This window comes from Homo sapiens, chromosome 5, assembly GCF_000001405.40.
Source record: "Homo sapiens chromosome 5, GRCh38.p14 Primary Assembly".
NCBI classification, from domain to species: Eukaryota; Metazoa; Chordata; class Mammalia; order Primates; family Hominidae; genus Homo; species Homo sapiens.
In genome coordinates, this window is record NC_000005.10 from 144,378,910 (window position 1) to 144,396,227 (window position 17,318).

Consider the following 17,318-nt stretch of genomic DNA (forward strand, 5'->3'; position numbering starts at 1 on the left):
CGTCATAGGAGAAAATGCAAGCATCCGTGAAATGGGATTTGGCGATATTAATTGTGGCCTTTCTCTTAGATGCCTTGGCTTCAGAGTGAATATTCATTTACAACTCATGGAGAAAGGGATGCATCCTGGAATACTGACGTTTGGCAATTGTCAGATGAACTTTCTGCTTTCAGCATATTTTGTGCTCAAAAGTAGATTCTTTTTATTATGAAATGTTTGAGGCAGGTATATGCCTTTTACGACTACCCATGTCTTCCTTCTCTCCTGCCCATAAGGTTTTCCCATTTTTATGCCTGCTCTTTGGCCTAACTCCCCACATGTTCCCATGGATGACAAGAAAGATATGAGAGGGAGTCTCTTTTCATATTTAGGCTGTGTTTACACATTGGGTTAGACTTTGGATAAAGATTGGAGGATTAGTAAATAGATATTTCACGTACTAGAAGAAGAGGGGCTTACTTGAAATGGGTTTAGAATTGTAATAAGATGAATTTAGGTGTCCTATAAATAAGCTTTGTGACTATAGGGACTGTGAGAGAACAGAGTGCATTACTGATGGAGGGTTTGGGAGTTACTTTTGGAGGATATCTTTAAGAATATCATTATAATAGATTAAAGACAAGGAGTTCATTTGGGAGCTTGGGGGCATGTTCCAGTCCTAAATATGGTTGTTATTTTATTTTCAAAGGTAACATCTTCAACAAGTTTTCAGACAGGTTTCTTTGTATGGGTATGACAGAAAATATATAATTATTCACTCTTTCTTTTAAATTAAAGTTTCACAAAGATGGCCTTTGCAAACACACCAAATAAGATCATCCATGCCTTTTTCTTTTTAGTTGGCATTTGATGTTGAGAATTTTAGCTAGGCTGAGTCAGTAGTTATTGTTTCAAATATTTATCACTGACTTGAGAAACATATTTATAAAAGTTATATTCAAATAAAGCAAAATGTAAATAAAAGAATAAACCAAACATCCATGTATTTCCAACACTTACATGTATTGTATTGTAAATGTAGTCTATATTTTTAATTTTTTTCATTTTCCTTACATACATACTCTGGTATAGACGGCAGTATGCTGGTTTTATACATATATGCAGTTGCAAGTGTGGTTTCCTCTGCCGAGATTCTATACCTAAAAAATATTCTACACTTATGGTTCTATACCTAGAAAACCCCATAGTCTCTGACCAAAGGGTCCTATAAATGATAAATAACTTTGGTAAAGTTTCAGGCTACAAAATAAATATACAAAAATCAGTTACATTTCTTTACACCAATAATGTCCAAGCTGAGAGTAAAATCAAGAGTACAATCCCATTCACAACAGCCACAAAAAGAATAAAATACCTAGGAATACAGCTTACCAAGGAGGTAAATGATATTTACAATGAGAGTTACAAAACACCACTGAAAAAAACCAGAGACAGCACAAACAAATGGAAAAACATTCCATGCTCATGGATAAGAAGAATCAATATTTTTAAAATGGCTACACTGCTCAAAGTAATTTACAGATTCAATGCTATTTATATCAAACTATGAATGCCATTTTTTACAGAATTAGAGAAGACTATTTTGAAATTCACTTGGAACTGAAAAGGAGCCTAACTAGCCATAGCAATTCTAAGTAAAAAGAACAAAGCCAGATGCATCACACTACTCAACTTCAAACTACATTATGAGGCTCCAGTTACCAAAACAGCATGGTACTGGTACAAAACCAGACACATAGATCAATGGAACAGGTTACAGAACAACTATATGATCTTCAACAAAGTCAACAACAACAAGCAATGGGGGAAAGACTCCCTATTCAATAAATGATGCTGGGATAACTGACTAGCCATATGCAGAAGATCGAAACTGGACTACTTCCTTGCACCATATAAAAATCAACTCAAAATGGATTAAAGACTTAAATGAAAACCTAAAACTACAAAAACCCCAGAAGAAAACTTAGGAAATACCATTCTAGACATAGGCCTTGGCAAAGATTTCATGACAAAGTCTCCACAAACAATTGTAACAGAAACAAAAATAGACAAGTGAGACCCCAGAGTTTCTGCACAGCAAAAGAAACTATCAACAGAGTAAACAGACAACCTATAGAATGGGATAAGACATTTGCAAACTATGCATCTGATAAAGGTCTAATATCCTGAATCTATAAGAAACTTAAACAAATTAACAAGGAAAAAACAAGCAACCCCATTAAAAAATGAGCAAAGGACACGAACAGACACTTTTCAAAAGAAGACATACAAGCATATGAAAAAAAAGTTCAACATCAGTAACCATCAGAGAAATGCAAATCAAAACCACAATGAGATACCGTCTCACACCACTCAGAATGACTATTATTAAAAAGTCAAAAAATAACAGATATTGGCAAGGTTGTGGAGAAAAGAGAACATTTATACACTGCTGGTGGGAATGTAAATTAGTTCAGCCACTGCAGAAAGCAGTGTATTAGGCTGTTCTTGCATTGCTATAAGGAAATACCTGAGACTGGGCAATATTTAAAGAAAAGAGGTTTTTGGCTCAAGGCTCTGCAGGCTTGGAAGCATAGGGCTGGCATCTGCTTGGCTTCTAGGGAGGCCTCAGGAAGTTTACAATCATGATGGAAGGCAAAGGGGGAGTAGGCATGTCACATGGCAAAAGCAGAAGCAAGTGAGAAAGAGTGGAGGGGGGAGGTGCCACACACTTTTGAACCACCAGATCTCGTGTGAACTCAGAGCAGGAGCTCACTTATCACCAATGGGATGGCCCAAGCCATTCATAAGAGATCCATCCCCATGATTCAAACACCTCTCACCAGTCCCCACCTCCAGCATTGGAAATGACAATTCAACATGAGATTTGGGTAAGGACATATGTTCAAACCATCTCAAGAAGTTTGGAGATTTATCAAAGAATCTAAAAGATAACTACCATTTGACCCAGCAATTCCATTATTGGGTACATACCTAAAGGAATATAAATAATTCTTCTAAGAAGCCACATGCACCCATATGTTCATTGCAGCACTATTTACAATAGCAAAGATATGGAATCAACCTAGGTTCCCATCAACAGTGGACTGGATGAAAGAAGATGTTTATATACATACATACATACATACATACATACATATGATGGAATACTATGCAGCCCTAAAAATTGAAATCATGCCTTTTGCAGCAACATGGATGTAGCTGAGGCCATTATGCTAAGTAAATTAATACAGGAACAGAAAATCAAATACTACATATTCTCACTTATACGTGGGAGTTAAACACTGAGTACACATGGAACCAAAGATCGGAATAATAGACATAGGTTCTTACTTGAAGGATGAGCATGTGGGAAGAGGGTGAAGGTACTCTTTAGTCACTTCCTGGGTGACTAAATCATTTGTACACAAAACCCCAGCAATACGCAATTTACTCAGGTAATAAACCTGCACATGCACCCCTGAACCTAAAATAAAACTTGAAAAAAGATTTTAAAATATAAGAATAAAAAGAAATAAGCTCAGACATCAGCACCTCCAGGAAGGCTCCCTGGATTCTATGCCCCTCGCCTCTGACACCATACTTAGGATCCTCTTATTGAGCTCACTATAGTTAGTTGTTCCATACTCAGTATTGAATGAATGAATATGGAATAGAAACATCACCTTTCTCCCATATTATATGATAAACTACAAGAAAACTGGAAATTTGTTTTATTCATATCCACATACCTAGCCACCAGCACCATGCCTGACATGTAGTAGATGCTCAATAGCCAAGTAGTGAATGAATGACCATTTGTCCTTGAGGAGGTGAAGTTTTTATTTAAAGCATCTCTGGATCCACTGCGAGGTTCTGGATGTTCATCTCTTTTACTTCAGCATTTACTTAAGCTCTTATTTGGAGGTGCATTGAGTTATTCATTCTTCCTGGATCAAGAAAACAAGACCATGGCAGTAATGTCACCACTAAATTCTCATATTGCTTTGCCCAACTTGTGCATTTTTCACATGCTATTCCAAATATTGTTTCCTTTCTATTCAAAGCACCCACAATCCTCTGGTAGGGAGCTTCACGTTGGTTTTCCTAATCTGCTCTGGCAAAATAGTTTTGGCACTTAACTTCTACTCATTTCTTTCCTTACTGTTACCTCTGCAGAGAAGCAGAAACCTGCAAATTCACTGTCTGCAGATAAATGGGGCCATTTCACCTTCCCTGGTACCTCACAGGTAAGTTTGAAAAGAGCAGAAGACGCATAGTTGAAGGGGACCTAGGGACTCTCTTAAATGATAAATGACGATTTAGAAAATTGCCCACCTTAGCTGTAAACTGTACTTACTGGGCAAGTTGAGGAATTAAACTGTCATCTTTCATCCTGTAGAGCTGACATTTCTCTGCGTCAGAGCTGCCATTTTGACCTTTCTTTTCACATTTTGTTGAGTTATTCACTCCCTGGCTCAGCTTTTTTGATTTGAAATATTCAGATCTACCTTTTTCACGGGATGGATCTCTTGTTTTCTCCCTAGTCTTTTCTCATGCCACTGAACTGCATCATATGTTAATAAGCTTTTTACTGTGCTAAATTGCTTTGTTTCTGTAGCTGATTTGAAGGCAAAAAGGCCCTAGAGGGTGAAGGAAAAAAAAAAAAAGAAACATTCTAAAGTAATTAGAATGATTACAGCAGCTGAAAACATTGCTTTCCTAAAACTGCAATATTTTTTCAGGAGATTTTTTTTTTTCTTTTACAAAAGCCCATGAGGTACTAGGATTAGTGTTTGCAAAGCAAATGGTGGCTGGTAGTTTTTCATTATAGAGACGAATGAGAGTCATACATTGGAAATTTTAAAATGCATTATCATGACCAGCCATAGGCTTATCTTGCTCATCCTTTATTTGGTTTCAGTTATGTCCTTTGCCTTCATGACCATCTGAGCCGAGGCTTAGCAGGCATTTCTGATGGGTTTGAAACACTTCGTTAAAAACCAATATTATAAAAAATACGTAAGAATCTATTCATTAAAAATGGTGAGTTGTAGACATCTTTTTGATCAGAAAAACCACAACAGTAAATGTGGCAGCTATGAATTAACACTTACAAATAGATGATTTCCCCCAGTGAAATATTAGTCTTTGTGCAATGGAATAAATAGCAGTTTTTTTCCTGAGGAAAAGCTGAACTTAATTTTCAAGATGAGTGGGAGTCATTGAAATGGGAGAGGATTTAAGATGGTGAGTTAATATATTTTATGCTCTTCTCTCATGCAGATCAGGTAGCAAGTGATGGAGCATTTCTACGTGTATCCAAACCTTTGCAAAATGGGTTGCCATCATTTCCTTGTAATGGATAGACAAAGTCCAGGCACTTCTTTGGCACCCTTATAGCTTTGAAAAGCTGGTAAGGGGATAGAACTGGAGGCTAAGGAAGAAGTGGGAAAGGAGCTTCGTCATTCTGTGTTTTAAATCCTTTCTCTGTTGTCTTCATCAGACATCTGACCAAAACGACAGCACTGTTGGCATTGCTGCTGAAATATACTAATACCTTACAATGAAGTTTTCAAAATAAATACATTTTTTCTAAGTAACTTTAACATAAAATTTTATTTATTTTTTCATTATAGCGAAATAAAATTTTATTTATTATAACATTGTTTTATTACATCTTCCAAAGTACATTACCTATTTTGCTACCATTTTAAAACAAAATATAGTAAACATAATTTAACCTCTTTCTGATGACTCAAGATAAATTTTACAAATATTCTATTGTTCCGTATTCATCATTAATGTTTGCACTATTATTTCTTTAATGTAGAGACCAAATGCTACAAAACAAATGAACTGTTGTGGTAATATTGGACAATTTTTAGGGTCTTATTTCTGGCTTCTAGCTTTTGTTTCCTAATGATGGTCACTTGGCTATTCTTTAAAGTTTTAGGATGGATAAGTAGGTAATTAAGAGTATAAAATAGCATGTAAGGAAGAGTCAATATAATCTGTAGGATGACCCCTTTCATGTAATGAAGTGCATACATTTTGTGATATTTATTTTGGATGTTTAGAAGCTCGTTCCCTTTTGGACTCACTGTTGGAAGTCTGACATTCAAATAAGTGGGACATTATGGCCTGTATTTTGGCTAAAGGGGATAATGTCTGCAGCTGGAATAAACAATCAGCAAAGTCATAAATCATAATTTCCTTCACACTTCATTGTAAGATAATAATATATGAGCGAAAACTATTTTCCTCTATTATAGCTGTCACTAAAGGAAAATTTCCATTCAGGCTATAACCTCTCAATAAAATATAAGGCACAAAAATTCAGAAAAATATATTTTTGTTTACTCGTAGATGCTGATGACTTCAGTGAAGATAGCATTGTTGCATAATGTCCACAAATCATTGATAATAAAAATATAACCAAGAACATGACATATGCATTTGTTACTTGTATTTTTATATTTAATTTTAAATAGTCTTCAGTAACATGCTTGGGGCCAAGCCATGGGGATTTATTTTTCATGTCCTTCACATCCACTTCTACTTCTTCTGAGTGGTTTCTTCATTGACAGTGGGTGGAAGGGACCAAATATGGACCATATTTCTTTTTCACATGAAATATTTTCCCCCAGATGTTGCTTCATTGTCACTCCATTACTATAGGACAATTTTCTTTGCTTCCCCTTCTCACAATAGAAAATATGGCCACTATAAGCTTTCAAGTTCATGTATTACTTGTCCAGCCATCTGGAAAGACTGAGTCAACTCTTGGTTCCAATCCCAAATTTGCAAAAATGTATATGTCTGCCTCTGGACCAATAAACTGCTTTGTAAGTAGGGCTCATGCTGCACAGATATGTTGGTCCCATTCAAATCATTTAAGAGTATGTGTGTCTTGTGGGGAGGAGGGGTGGTCCCTTAAAAAAAGAAGTGGTTCCTTACCACTTCCTTTTTGGCCTAACAGGACCTAATATTAACGTCTATTTTTAAAAGGCATCAAGATTGCCTTTTAAAAGTTTCACATGCCATCTACTCTTCATTAAAAATATTCATGGTAGAGAGTGAGGCTGAGCTATCTAGTAATCATTGCTTGGGATTTAAAATATTGTTCTTATGTTTTTCATGTAAGCTTGTTGCCACTCAGAGATATTATTTCCAGAAATGTGTAAAGACAGGATATGATAAAACAGATACGTGTATTAGATTGGCAGAAAAACTAAGTTAAGAGCAAGGCAAATAATCTTTAATCTCTTCTTTTCTACAGAGCTCAATAACTATTGACTTGCCCTCTCAGTTGATTGGAAAGGGCCCTCTGTTGTGAACTGAGTGTAGCTAGGGTGTGTACTTCATGCCTTCCGAATGGCAGCTCCATCACTAAAGCATCCCAGTTGCACAGTAACCAATTCCAGGGAACCCCAAATACTTTCATAAAGTTAGTAGCAAGAGGAGTTTCTTGAGATTTCTAGGCATTGTCAAAATACTGATGATTGGTCATTTAAGACTGGTATATTTTTTAGGTAGTTATTGACCACTCTATGGGTAGTACTGTGGATAGTACTGTGGTACTATGGTCACATTTGTTCTCTCTTTCTCTCTCTTTCATTTGTACAGTTCCTACTTTAGACTCTGTATATGCTCATGACTGTGCAGTCCATTGTAAATACTCAATACATATTTACTAAGTGAACAAATATGTATGTCTGCAATGACAGGGAACACATTTCCATCTTTTTATATTCCCTGAATTTCTTAGCTTAATGCACTGCTTATAAGAGACGCTTAGTTAATGCATGTAGGTGAAGAAAAAAAGAATGAAAATTGGCACATTCCAGAGTGCTTTGATGGTTTATTTGGTAAAACAAAAAAACAAACAAAACAAAAAAAACAGCCATTCCTCAAAGACTCAGAACTAACAATAACAACTCAGGCTCCATCAGTCTGAATGTGCTAATGCACATGAGAGTACTTGGTAAGCTTTAAAGTGGTATTATTGTTGTTGTAAAAGACAACTCCAGGCTCACCCAACTAAAATAGCTTACATCTGTAGAGCCCTTTACCAATTACAAAGCACTTTTTTTTTTTGAGACACAATCCTCCTCTGTTGGGGTACAGTGCAGTGGCTGGTTCATGGCTCACTGCAGCCTCAGTCTCCCAGGCTCAAGAGATCCTCCCACCCCAGCTTCCCAAGTAGCTGTGACTACAGGCATGCGCCACCTCACCAGGCTAATTTAATTTTTTTTTTTTTTTTTTTTTGAGAGACAGAGTCTCACTTTGTTGCCGAGGCTGCTCTTGAACTCCTGGGCTCAAGTGATCTTCTGCTTCAGACTCCCAAAATGTTGGGATTACAGGCATGAGCCACTGTGCCCGACCCAAAGCACTTTCATGTATAGTGTCTTTATCATTTTCTCACAACCTCATGGTGGTGGTATTTTTGTTTTCTCCATTTTATAGATGAAGGAGCTCCTTTTTTGAGAAAAAATAAGTCATTCAAGGTCACATATTTAATAGTGAAGTCAAAGTTCAAGCTCTGGTTTTCTGAACCTAAGCCTGAGTTCCTTCCTCCACACTAGAACTAATACCCAAGGGTAATAATTTTTCATTGTAAGGAGTAATGATGCTTCTCAACTTACTTAAAGCATAAAGAAAGAATCAGGTACTCTTTTGCTTTCCTGGAAAAGAAATTAACCACCCTCTAAGTGTTGGAGTTGTGCATAAGCCCCAGGCTAGGCAGGGAGGTCTCTATTGAGATCTGAGGGATTAGGGAACTCAGGAGTGTGAGAATTTATGTCACTTACATGAATGACTTTGTAGGTGTAGCTTTCAAAATGGGTTTCTATGCCACTTAGAAAATGGCCCAATAGGAGCTTTGCTGCCAGGTGGACACAGCTCTACTGTCCAGCCTATAAGGGGTAGGCACTTTAGCAACAACCCTATCATTGAAGAGTTTTTTAGAGCCCCTTCCCCCTTTTTAACTAATCACAAGGTCTAGTGTCAGAGCTGTTTAGTAATTTGCCTAAGGACACAACTCTAGTAAGAAGCAGAGCTAGCATTTCTACTGATTTCATTAATTTTTTCACTTTTTAAGGGTCAAAGATTATATAGAACCAATTATTTATTATTAATCGGGAAAAAAAATCCAGAGTTCAATTTTAGAGCAAGTTTTTTTTTTTTTTTTTTTTTTTTTTTTTTGAGATGGAGTCTCGCTCTGTTGCCCAGAGACTGGAGTGCAGTGGCGGGATATCGGCTCACTGCAAGCTCCGCCTCCCGGGTTCACGCCATTCTCCTCTCTCAGCCTCCCGAGTAGCTGGGACTACAGGCGCCCGCCACCACGCCCAGCTATTTTTTTTTGTATTTTTAGTAGAGACGGGGTTTCACCGTGTTATCCAGGATGGTCTCGATCTACTGACCTCGTGATCCGCCCACCTCGGCCTCCCAAAGTGCTGGGATTACAGGCGTGAGCCACCGCGCCCGGCCTTAGAGCAAGTTTTTAAATAAATGAACTTTATATTGCTTTTCTTTTATTACCAATCTTTACGTTTTCCTTTATTAATTAACTCTGAATATTGTCTTGAATGTAACACTGTTCATGAACTTTTATCTTCAATTTAAGCTTATTTGAGAGTTGGATACCATGGGATATGAATCAATCAATACAGAAGCAAAGCTACATTTTAACCCTAGAAATGTAATTTATGCAGTCTTGGCTGTCTATGCAAGCCATAAGAAGGTCTCAATTCACATTTTCAGCCTTTATGATTTGGGATAGAAAGAAGTTGTTTTTAAGCAATATGATTAAGCCCTGTTACTCTTTGTCTTAGCCATGCTGACAGGTAGCAACATGGAGAAAAATATATATTCTATATCCATTCAACGAATCAAACACCTACAATATTGAGACACACTACTCGAGACACAGAATACATCAGTGAACAAAACAAAGACTTTGTTCTCGTGAAACTCATTCTGATAGATAAATAGTTAAAATATATGTACATATATGTGTCTTAATATGTGTGTGTATATGAATATATAAGAGGTAGTAAATGCCATAAAAGTAAGTAAGGGTGATGTTATGTGGGTGTTTTATCAAGGATGGTCATAAAGGACTTCTTTGAGAGCCACAGAAATTTGGCTTCATCTGAGGGTAGCATCCTTCCCTCCTTCCCATCAGATAAGCTCCCTGTATGGTTGCCTACTTCAGCAGATGAAGTCAGTCCCAGGGTAGATGGACATCTCTGCTATGTGAGCAAGTCATTAGAAATAAATTGTTGCTGAAGGTAGAAATCATCATGTAGGGCAGGGGTCCCCAACCCCCAGGCCACGGACCAGTAGCAGTTTGTGGCCTATTAGGAACTGGGCCACACAGCAGGAGGTGAATGGCAGATTAGCAAGTGAAGTTTCATCTGTGTTTACAGCTGCTCCCCATCACTTGCACCCCTGCCTGAGCCCCACCTCCTGTCAGATCAGCAGCAACATTAGGTTCTCATGGAAGCTGGAACCCTATTGTGAACTGAGCATGCAAGGGATCTAGGTTCCATGCTCCTTATGAGAACCTGATGCCTGATGATCGTCACTGTCTCCTATCAACTTCAGATGGGATTATCTAGTTGCAGAAAAGCAAGTTTAGGGCTCCCATTGATTCTACATTATGGTGAGTTGTATAATTATTTCATTATATAGTGCAATGTAATAATAATAGAAATAAGGGACTCAATAAATGCAACACACTTGAATCATCCTGAAACCATCCCCACCTGGCCCAATCTGTGGAAAAAATTGTCTTCCACGAAACCAGTCCCCTGTGCCAAAACAGTTGAGGGACAGCTGATGTAAGGAACGGCAAGAAGAATCATAAGAAGTATGGATAGAATGTGATGCACAAGCATGCTGATAAACATTCTCTTGGTTGTGTCAAGCTGCCCTTTCTGTTGATCATAAATGTTTTAGGTTCAGAACTAATTTGACCCTTTCCCTGTTTGGGAAAAAGAAAAGTTAGTTTCTCTTTCTTCTGAAGGTCTTGATTATCACAGGAGCGATGACCTAATTAAAATTGGATTCCAGCATGTAGACTGTCTCTGAATGTTTGCTATCTCTATGGCAGCTCTTGAGGATATTCATTACTCAATCTCATATTTCAAAAACTTCTTTTATCAAGACTAATGAGTCTTTATCATTCATCTCTAAAGTGAGTGGCTACACACATTTAATATTTTATGCAGCTCTTTTATGTGGATGTGAACAGAATTAGAGCCAATATAACCATTTAGTACCCTTTTCTATATGTGATAATTTATCATGGCTATCTGCCCAGCCAGGTAGATTTCCTTGTTTCTAGTTCACTTCTACCTAACGTGATTTTAAATCTTTTTGAAAACAAGGAGAAGTGTGCACAGGGGGCACCTTGTGGCAGGAACTGGAAATAGTGATGTGTTTGAAGGAAAGGGGAAGGCTGGAATTGGATCTCAGAAGAGAGGGAAAGATGAGAGTCTAGCTCACAACTGTTGGAAGGTTGTGGGGTTGGGGAGCTGGGGGGTCAGGCTCTTTTTACAGTTGCTGAAATTCAGTCATTAAACTGAGCTGTTCAGGAGAGGAACTCAAACTGGCTGTAAGAAGTGTTTAATTTTTTTTTTTATTATTATCCTTTAAGTTCTGGGATACATGTGCAGAACATGCAGGTTTGTTGCGTAGGTATACATGTGCCATGGTGGTTTGCTGCACCCTTCAACCTGTCATCTACATTAGGTATTTGTCCTAATGCTATCCCTCCCCTTGCCCCCTACCCCCGACGGGCCCCGGTGTGTGATGTTCCCCTCCCTGTGCCCATGTGTTCTCATTGTTCAACTCCCACTTATGAGTGAGAACATGGGGTGTTCGGTTTTCTGTTTCTGTGTTAGTTTACTGAGAATGATGGTTTGCAGCTTCATCCATGTTCCTGCAAAGGACATAAACTCGTTCTTTCTTTTTATGGCTGCCGAGAAGTGATTTTTTCAAAGCAAGATTGAGTTGATTAGTCACATCTAGGGCATGAATGTGATATTTGTCTTCTGTGTTCTTAATTCCTTTTGTTCCAAGGTGGTTGGTGCCTTTATGAGTACCTACAGCTCCCCCGCCACAACCAATTGCTGCTCATTTCCCCCTCCATCCTTTCCCATGGCATTCTACTCAGACTTACGTTGTGCCCCCACTATAATCAGGTGCTTCCTGACTCCATTCCCAGCTAACTTGGCATATTGCATCATGCACAGTGTTCTGCATACAGTAGGTGTGCAAAATATATTTCTTGAATAAATGTGTTCATAGCTTAATATGTAACTCCTACCAAGCACCACAGGTATTGCAAAAGGCTTCTCAGAAATGTGCTTTGGCATGAACTAATGGTAGAGATTTCAAGGTCCTTAGAGATATGGGGAAGTGATATATTTATAAAGCTGAACCTTGATGAAGTTCTTTTGCCCGATCAATTCCTTTGGGCAGAGATTCTGAAATGAATAGTGAGACTGAAGGTCATCCTCTGCATATCTACTCAGAATCTGGCCCAGGTGTTGTATTAATAATTTTCCTTTCATTAACACTGTCCCCACATGAATACTTCCAGGGCTGACCTTCTTGAATCAAGAGACAGGATGGTTTGTGGAATGAGAAACAGATGTACAGTCAGGAGTCTCTAATTCACCTTCCAGCTTTGGCCCTTTCCAGCACTACAATATTGGGCAAGTCTCTTCATTTCTCTCAGCTTCCATTTTCTCCTTATAAAATGGTAACTCTATACCCTGACGTACCTACAATGAATTTGAAGGACCATTTGCAATAATGGATGAAAATATTCTTTGTAAACTGTGAAGTGTAAACAAAGGCATAAAGACGTGTTTAATGCTAACATTTGGATTTTCTGTTTAAATACCAGATCAGCTGCTTTCTGCTACACAAATGTTAACTGATCTGATGATCTTTATTAGACATTAATAGTAGAATTGTGTTGAATTTACTTATCTGTGTGGTTGTTGAGTGCCTACCCAATGACAAGTTGTGTGCTAAGTGCTATGTATAAATCTATAGATGGTGGGGAAAAAACCATTATTTCTTCTCTTGGTGAATTTACAGAGGAAGAAAGGTATTAGGTAAGCCTAATGACTATATAATTATAACTGTAAAATTAAACGTATGTTTTAATAGTTATATTAAATGTATGTTATAATAGTTGCCATGAAGGAAACAAACGGTGTGGGAGAGAGATACAGAGTTAGTGAAAACAGAAAGTCGTGAAATGAGCAGTGGTAAGCTGGCAAGCCAGGGCAGGAATCAGGAGCAATGCAGGGGGAAAAGCACATGGAAAAAGCCCCATGAATTCAGGAAACATAAAGGGGGCCAATGTGGCTATGAGTGAGGTGCGTAGTGCAAGTGCTTTGAGTGGCTCAAATAGTGAGTAGAAGGATCTGAGGGCACAGTGGTAGGCAGCAGTTACATTGTGAGCCTCATTTAAGATGCTCAATCTCATTATAAGCTAAATGCAAAGTCATTGAAGTGTATGGAAGCATGAGACCACTATGACCACTAGATTTGTGTTAAAAAGGACAAAATATTATGCTCTCTGGATGCTGTGTGACCAGATGAGAGGTGGACCTATGTGAAAACACGTAGACCAGCTAAGAGGTTATTGCAGTCATCCAGGCAAGAAATGTGGATGGCTGCGGTTGGCCTTGCTACTGTTTACCATGTATCTCTAGCGCTCCTTTTTCTGGGGGCACTGTAGGATTTAATCCCTCAGCTCCTTTTAAGGGTAGGCATGAACCTTTCAAAACTGACTTTGGTCAATGAAACTGAGAGAAATAACTTGTATTACTTCTGGACAGAACATTTAAGAACAAATGAGTGATTTGCTGTGTTCCCTAGCTTCTCTCTTGGTGTGCATGGAAACACATGCGCACGTGAAGCCTCCATCAACGCAAGCCCCTGAGTGGCTATGATGAACAGTTCCTCCGCTGGCCAGCATTAGATATGGCATAAGAAGGGAGTACACCTTTGTTGTGTGCTGACCACTGAAATTTTGAGGTTGTTTGTTATTGCAGAGCATAAAATTATATTAATTGATACTGTGCTCATATATAGGCATCATAATTAATTTAAAAATAAACTCCATTTTTACACATATGAGGATACTATAACAATACTATGATGAATGATAGTATAATTTTTAACCATTTATAGCCCTTTTTATAGCACTTAGCACTTCTGAATTCTGTTGGTAGAACTATAGCTCATCACTGTTGCCCCTACATCTTGATTCAGAGCAATAATCTTGTGATATTAGTTGGTGAAAGATATCAATATCCTGGTCTTTCTAGAAAGATTTTTTTGGAACTTTTGTAATTGCTTTAGTTACTTCCTTTACTCATTATTATTTATATGTCATTCAACGAAGAGAGAGAGCTAAAAAGCTAAACATATGAGAAGTTTGAAATGTTTTAGTTTCTAACTTGTTTTTTAAAGTGGGGGTAAATCTGTGTGTTTTTCTATGTGAATATTATTAAGACGCTGGTCAGGTGACTTTCTAGCCCTGTGTCATACTACTCAACCCCTAGGCAACAAGTATAATTTGGGGCACTCAAATATCTGTTCTTAGTTTTATGTGGTAATACAGTGTGTATATATATAGAGAGAGAGTGTGAGTGTGTGTGTGTGTATGTATACATATACATATATGTACTTAAGAAAGCCAAGTCTTCTCTGCCACCTGCATGCCTATTTCTTACCCACTTACCATGCTATAGGAGAGAGTAGGCTATATATTTAAAGCATTGGCCTATTCCCTGACAACCTGCATTCTGTAGTTTCAATGACTTGTAGGTTGCAGGAAGAATGGGAAGAGTTAATTGCCAACTTTATTTTGTTAGGAGAGGCAGATTTCATTTCACATTGATTTTCTGCATTCTCTGTGCCAATTTGTGACAGCTTGTTTCGCAGCTCCACATTTGTTTAAAGCTCTCTAACAGGCTGAATTTTATTATTTTTTTCATGCTGTTTTTTTCTTTTGCTTTTCCTTTTTTTCTTTCTTTTTTCTTTTTTTTTTTTTTTTTGTTTAAACTTAGGAGAACATGGCTTTGCACATGGTCGGGAACCCAAATAAGCCTCTCTCTCTGGAGTTGATGATTGGCAGCTCCCCCTGTCGTGCAGATGTGAAACAAGGAAAGCTAATTTTCCCATCGACTTTCTAGTTTCTATTACTATCTGTCATTTCACATTGGTACTCATTACAGCCATCTTCTTGCCAGATGGAAATCTACCTACTCACTGGGTGTCCATTTTCTGCCACTCATGGATCATGACAATGTCAGACAATATGTCAGTAAACTCTTTTCAATATACTTTTTTTTGCATTGGATAGATTGGTGACATTTTATGAAATGCTTGATATTGATGGAAAGTACCTTCATGTCATACATTAGCAAAGTAAAGAAAAGGCCAGGAAGTCCAGGTTTCTTGAGAAAAGTTGCCTATGATATAAGAAGAGATAAGTGGTATTGGCAACACAAATGAATCATTGTGTTGCCATAGTTGTTCTCTGAAAACTGAACTGGACATGACTAATGACCCATATGAACATACAAATTAAGTATTGATATATGCCCAAGTAATATGGTTTGGCTATATCCCCACCCAAATCTCATCTTGAATTGTAATCCCCATAATCCCCACATGTCGAGAGACGGACCCAGTGAGATGTGAATGGATCATGGGGATGGGTACCCTCATGCTGTTCTTGTGATAGTGAGTGAGTCCTCACGAGATCTGATGGTTTTGTAAGAATCTGGCATTTTGCCTGCTTGCTCTTCTCTCTCCTGCCACCATGTGAAGAAGGTCTTTGCTTTCCCTTCACCTTCTGCCATGATTGTAAGTTTCCTGAGGCCTCTCTAGCCATGCGGAACTGTGAATCAGTTAAACTTCTTTCCTTTAAAAATTACCCAGTCTTTGACCATTCTTTATAGCAGTGTGAGAATGAATTAGTACACCAAATAACACTAGAAGGTCCTATTCTTGATGAGATGACAAGTTATAGCCGGAAACTAGTCTTGCTTAACCCAGTGGTTCTCAAAGCCTGGTCCTGGATCAGAAGCAGCAATATCACCTGGCAACCTGTTAGAAATGCAGATTGTTAGGCCCACCTCAGTCCAACTGAATCAGAAACTCTGAGAGTGGGGCCCAGCAATTTATATTATTTTAGAAGCCCTCCATGTGATTCTGATGCTTGCTAGAGTTTGAGACCCACTTAAGGACTAAGGCAGAAATTGGAGAATCAGTGCAATCATGGAGTGTTTTTTAATTGGGTTAATAACCCAGATAGTTGTTTCAGTTATCGATTTCTTTTTTCACAGATAAGCATGGGGAGGCGATATGTCCGTGTCTGATATACTGAACTAAACAACTTATGTAATGCAATCAAAATGCAAGTTTATTTTTGTTTTTCAAGCTTCTTATAAAATGTATCCACTGAAAAGAGGTCTTGCCGCCTTTCATGGAGAACTCCTGGAGGCCTTCTCTGGGCATTCTGCTGCAATAAAGTTCTTATGGATATATTAAGGGCAAATAGGTCTCAGCACAGTTGTTTGGTCTTCTCTGCAATCGCAGCTGGGCCAGCTGCCTGCAGGAACCTGTAGTAGTCTTCTCTATTCTTCCTTACTCACAGCCTACCTATTCAGCACTAGCAGTTCCTGCTTACAGCCATATGTTTCAGCAATTCTCTCCACAATAATCCCCCTATTAGAGTTCTATTGTCCTCCCAGGTAGTCGTTTTGGGGAGAATTCAAGCAGTTCCAGGCAGGCCATCTCTTCCCACCATGGTCCTGATCTGGACCATGGGAGGCCATCAAGCATCTTTGCCTGACAGCTGTGGTCCAGTAAACTGATGGCAGTGCAGCAGCCACTCTGCTCTGCTGCTCAGGATGTCTGTCAGCCTCTACATCAGGTGTTGGCAAGCTCTGGCCCATGGGCCGACTCTGGTCTGCTTCCTGTTTTTGTAAGTAGTTTCATTGGAACACAGTCATATCTGTTAGTTTATGTATAGTCTATGGTTACTTTTGCACTACAATGTGCAAGAGACTATATGAATTGCAAAACCTAAAATATTTATTATCTGTCTCTTTGCAGAAAAAAATTGCAAACCCTGCTCTAGATTTTGGGGGTGGATGACATAATGGGGAGGGAGAAAATGGGAAATCAGACCCATTTTCTCCCACTTTGCCTGTCAGATACCAACTGCAGGGATTTATTAGGCTCTCTAGGTGTTCTCCTTGAAGAGCACTTCTGTCCCTCCCTTACATTTAAGG

At 38.4% G+C, this 17,318-nt stretch overlaps 1 protein-coding gene across 4 annotated transcripts in view, besides 1 other annotated feature; it reads left to right on the forward strand.

Moving 5' to 3' along the window:
• KCTD16 (potassium channel tetramerization domain containing 16) overlaps positions 1-17,318 on the forward strand; it is a 314,814-nt gene that overhangs the window by 208,037 nt on the left and 89,459 nt on the right. The window lies entirely within an intron of this gene.
• Positions 3,733-4,932: an enhancer, noted in NCBI's record as "CDK7 strongly-dependent group 2 enhancer chr5:143762205-143763404 (GRCh37/hg19 assembly coordinates)". NCBI's record gives its function as "activates an origin of replication core promoter dependent on BRD2, BRD4, P300/CBP, MED14 and CDK7 cofactors, with strong dependence on CDK7, by STARR-seq in HCT116 cells {active_cell/tissue: HCT116}" and the evidence as "EXISTENCE:reporter gene assay evidence [ECO:0000049][PMID:35650434]".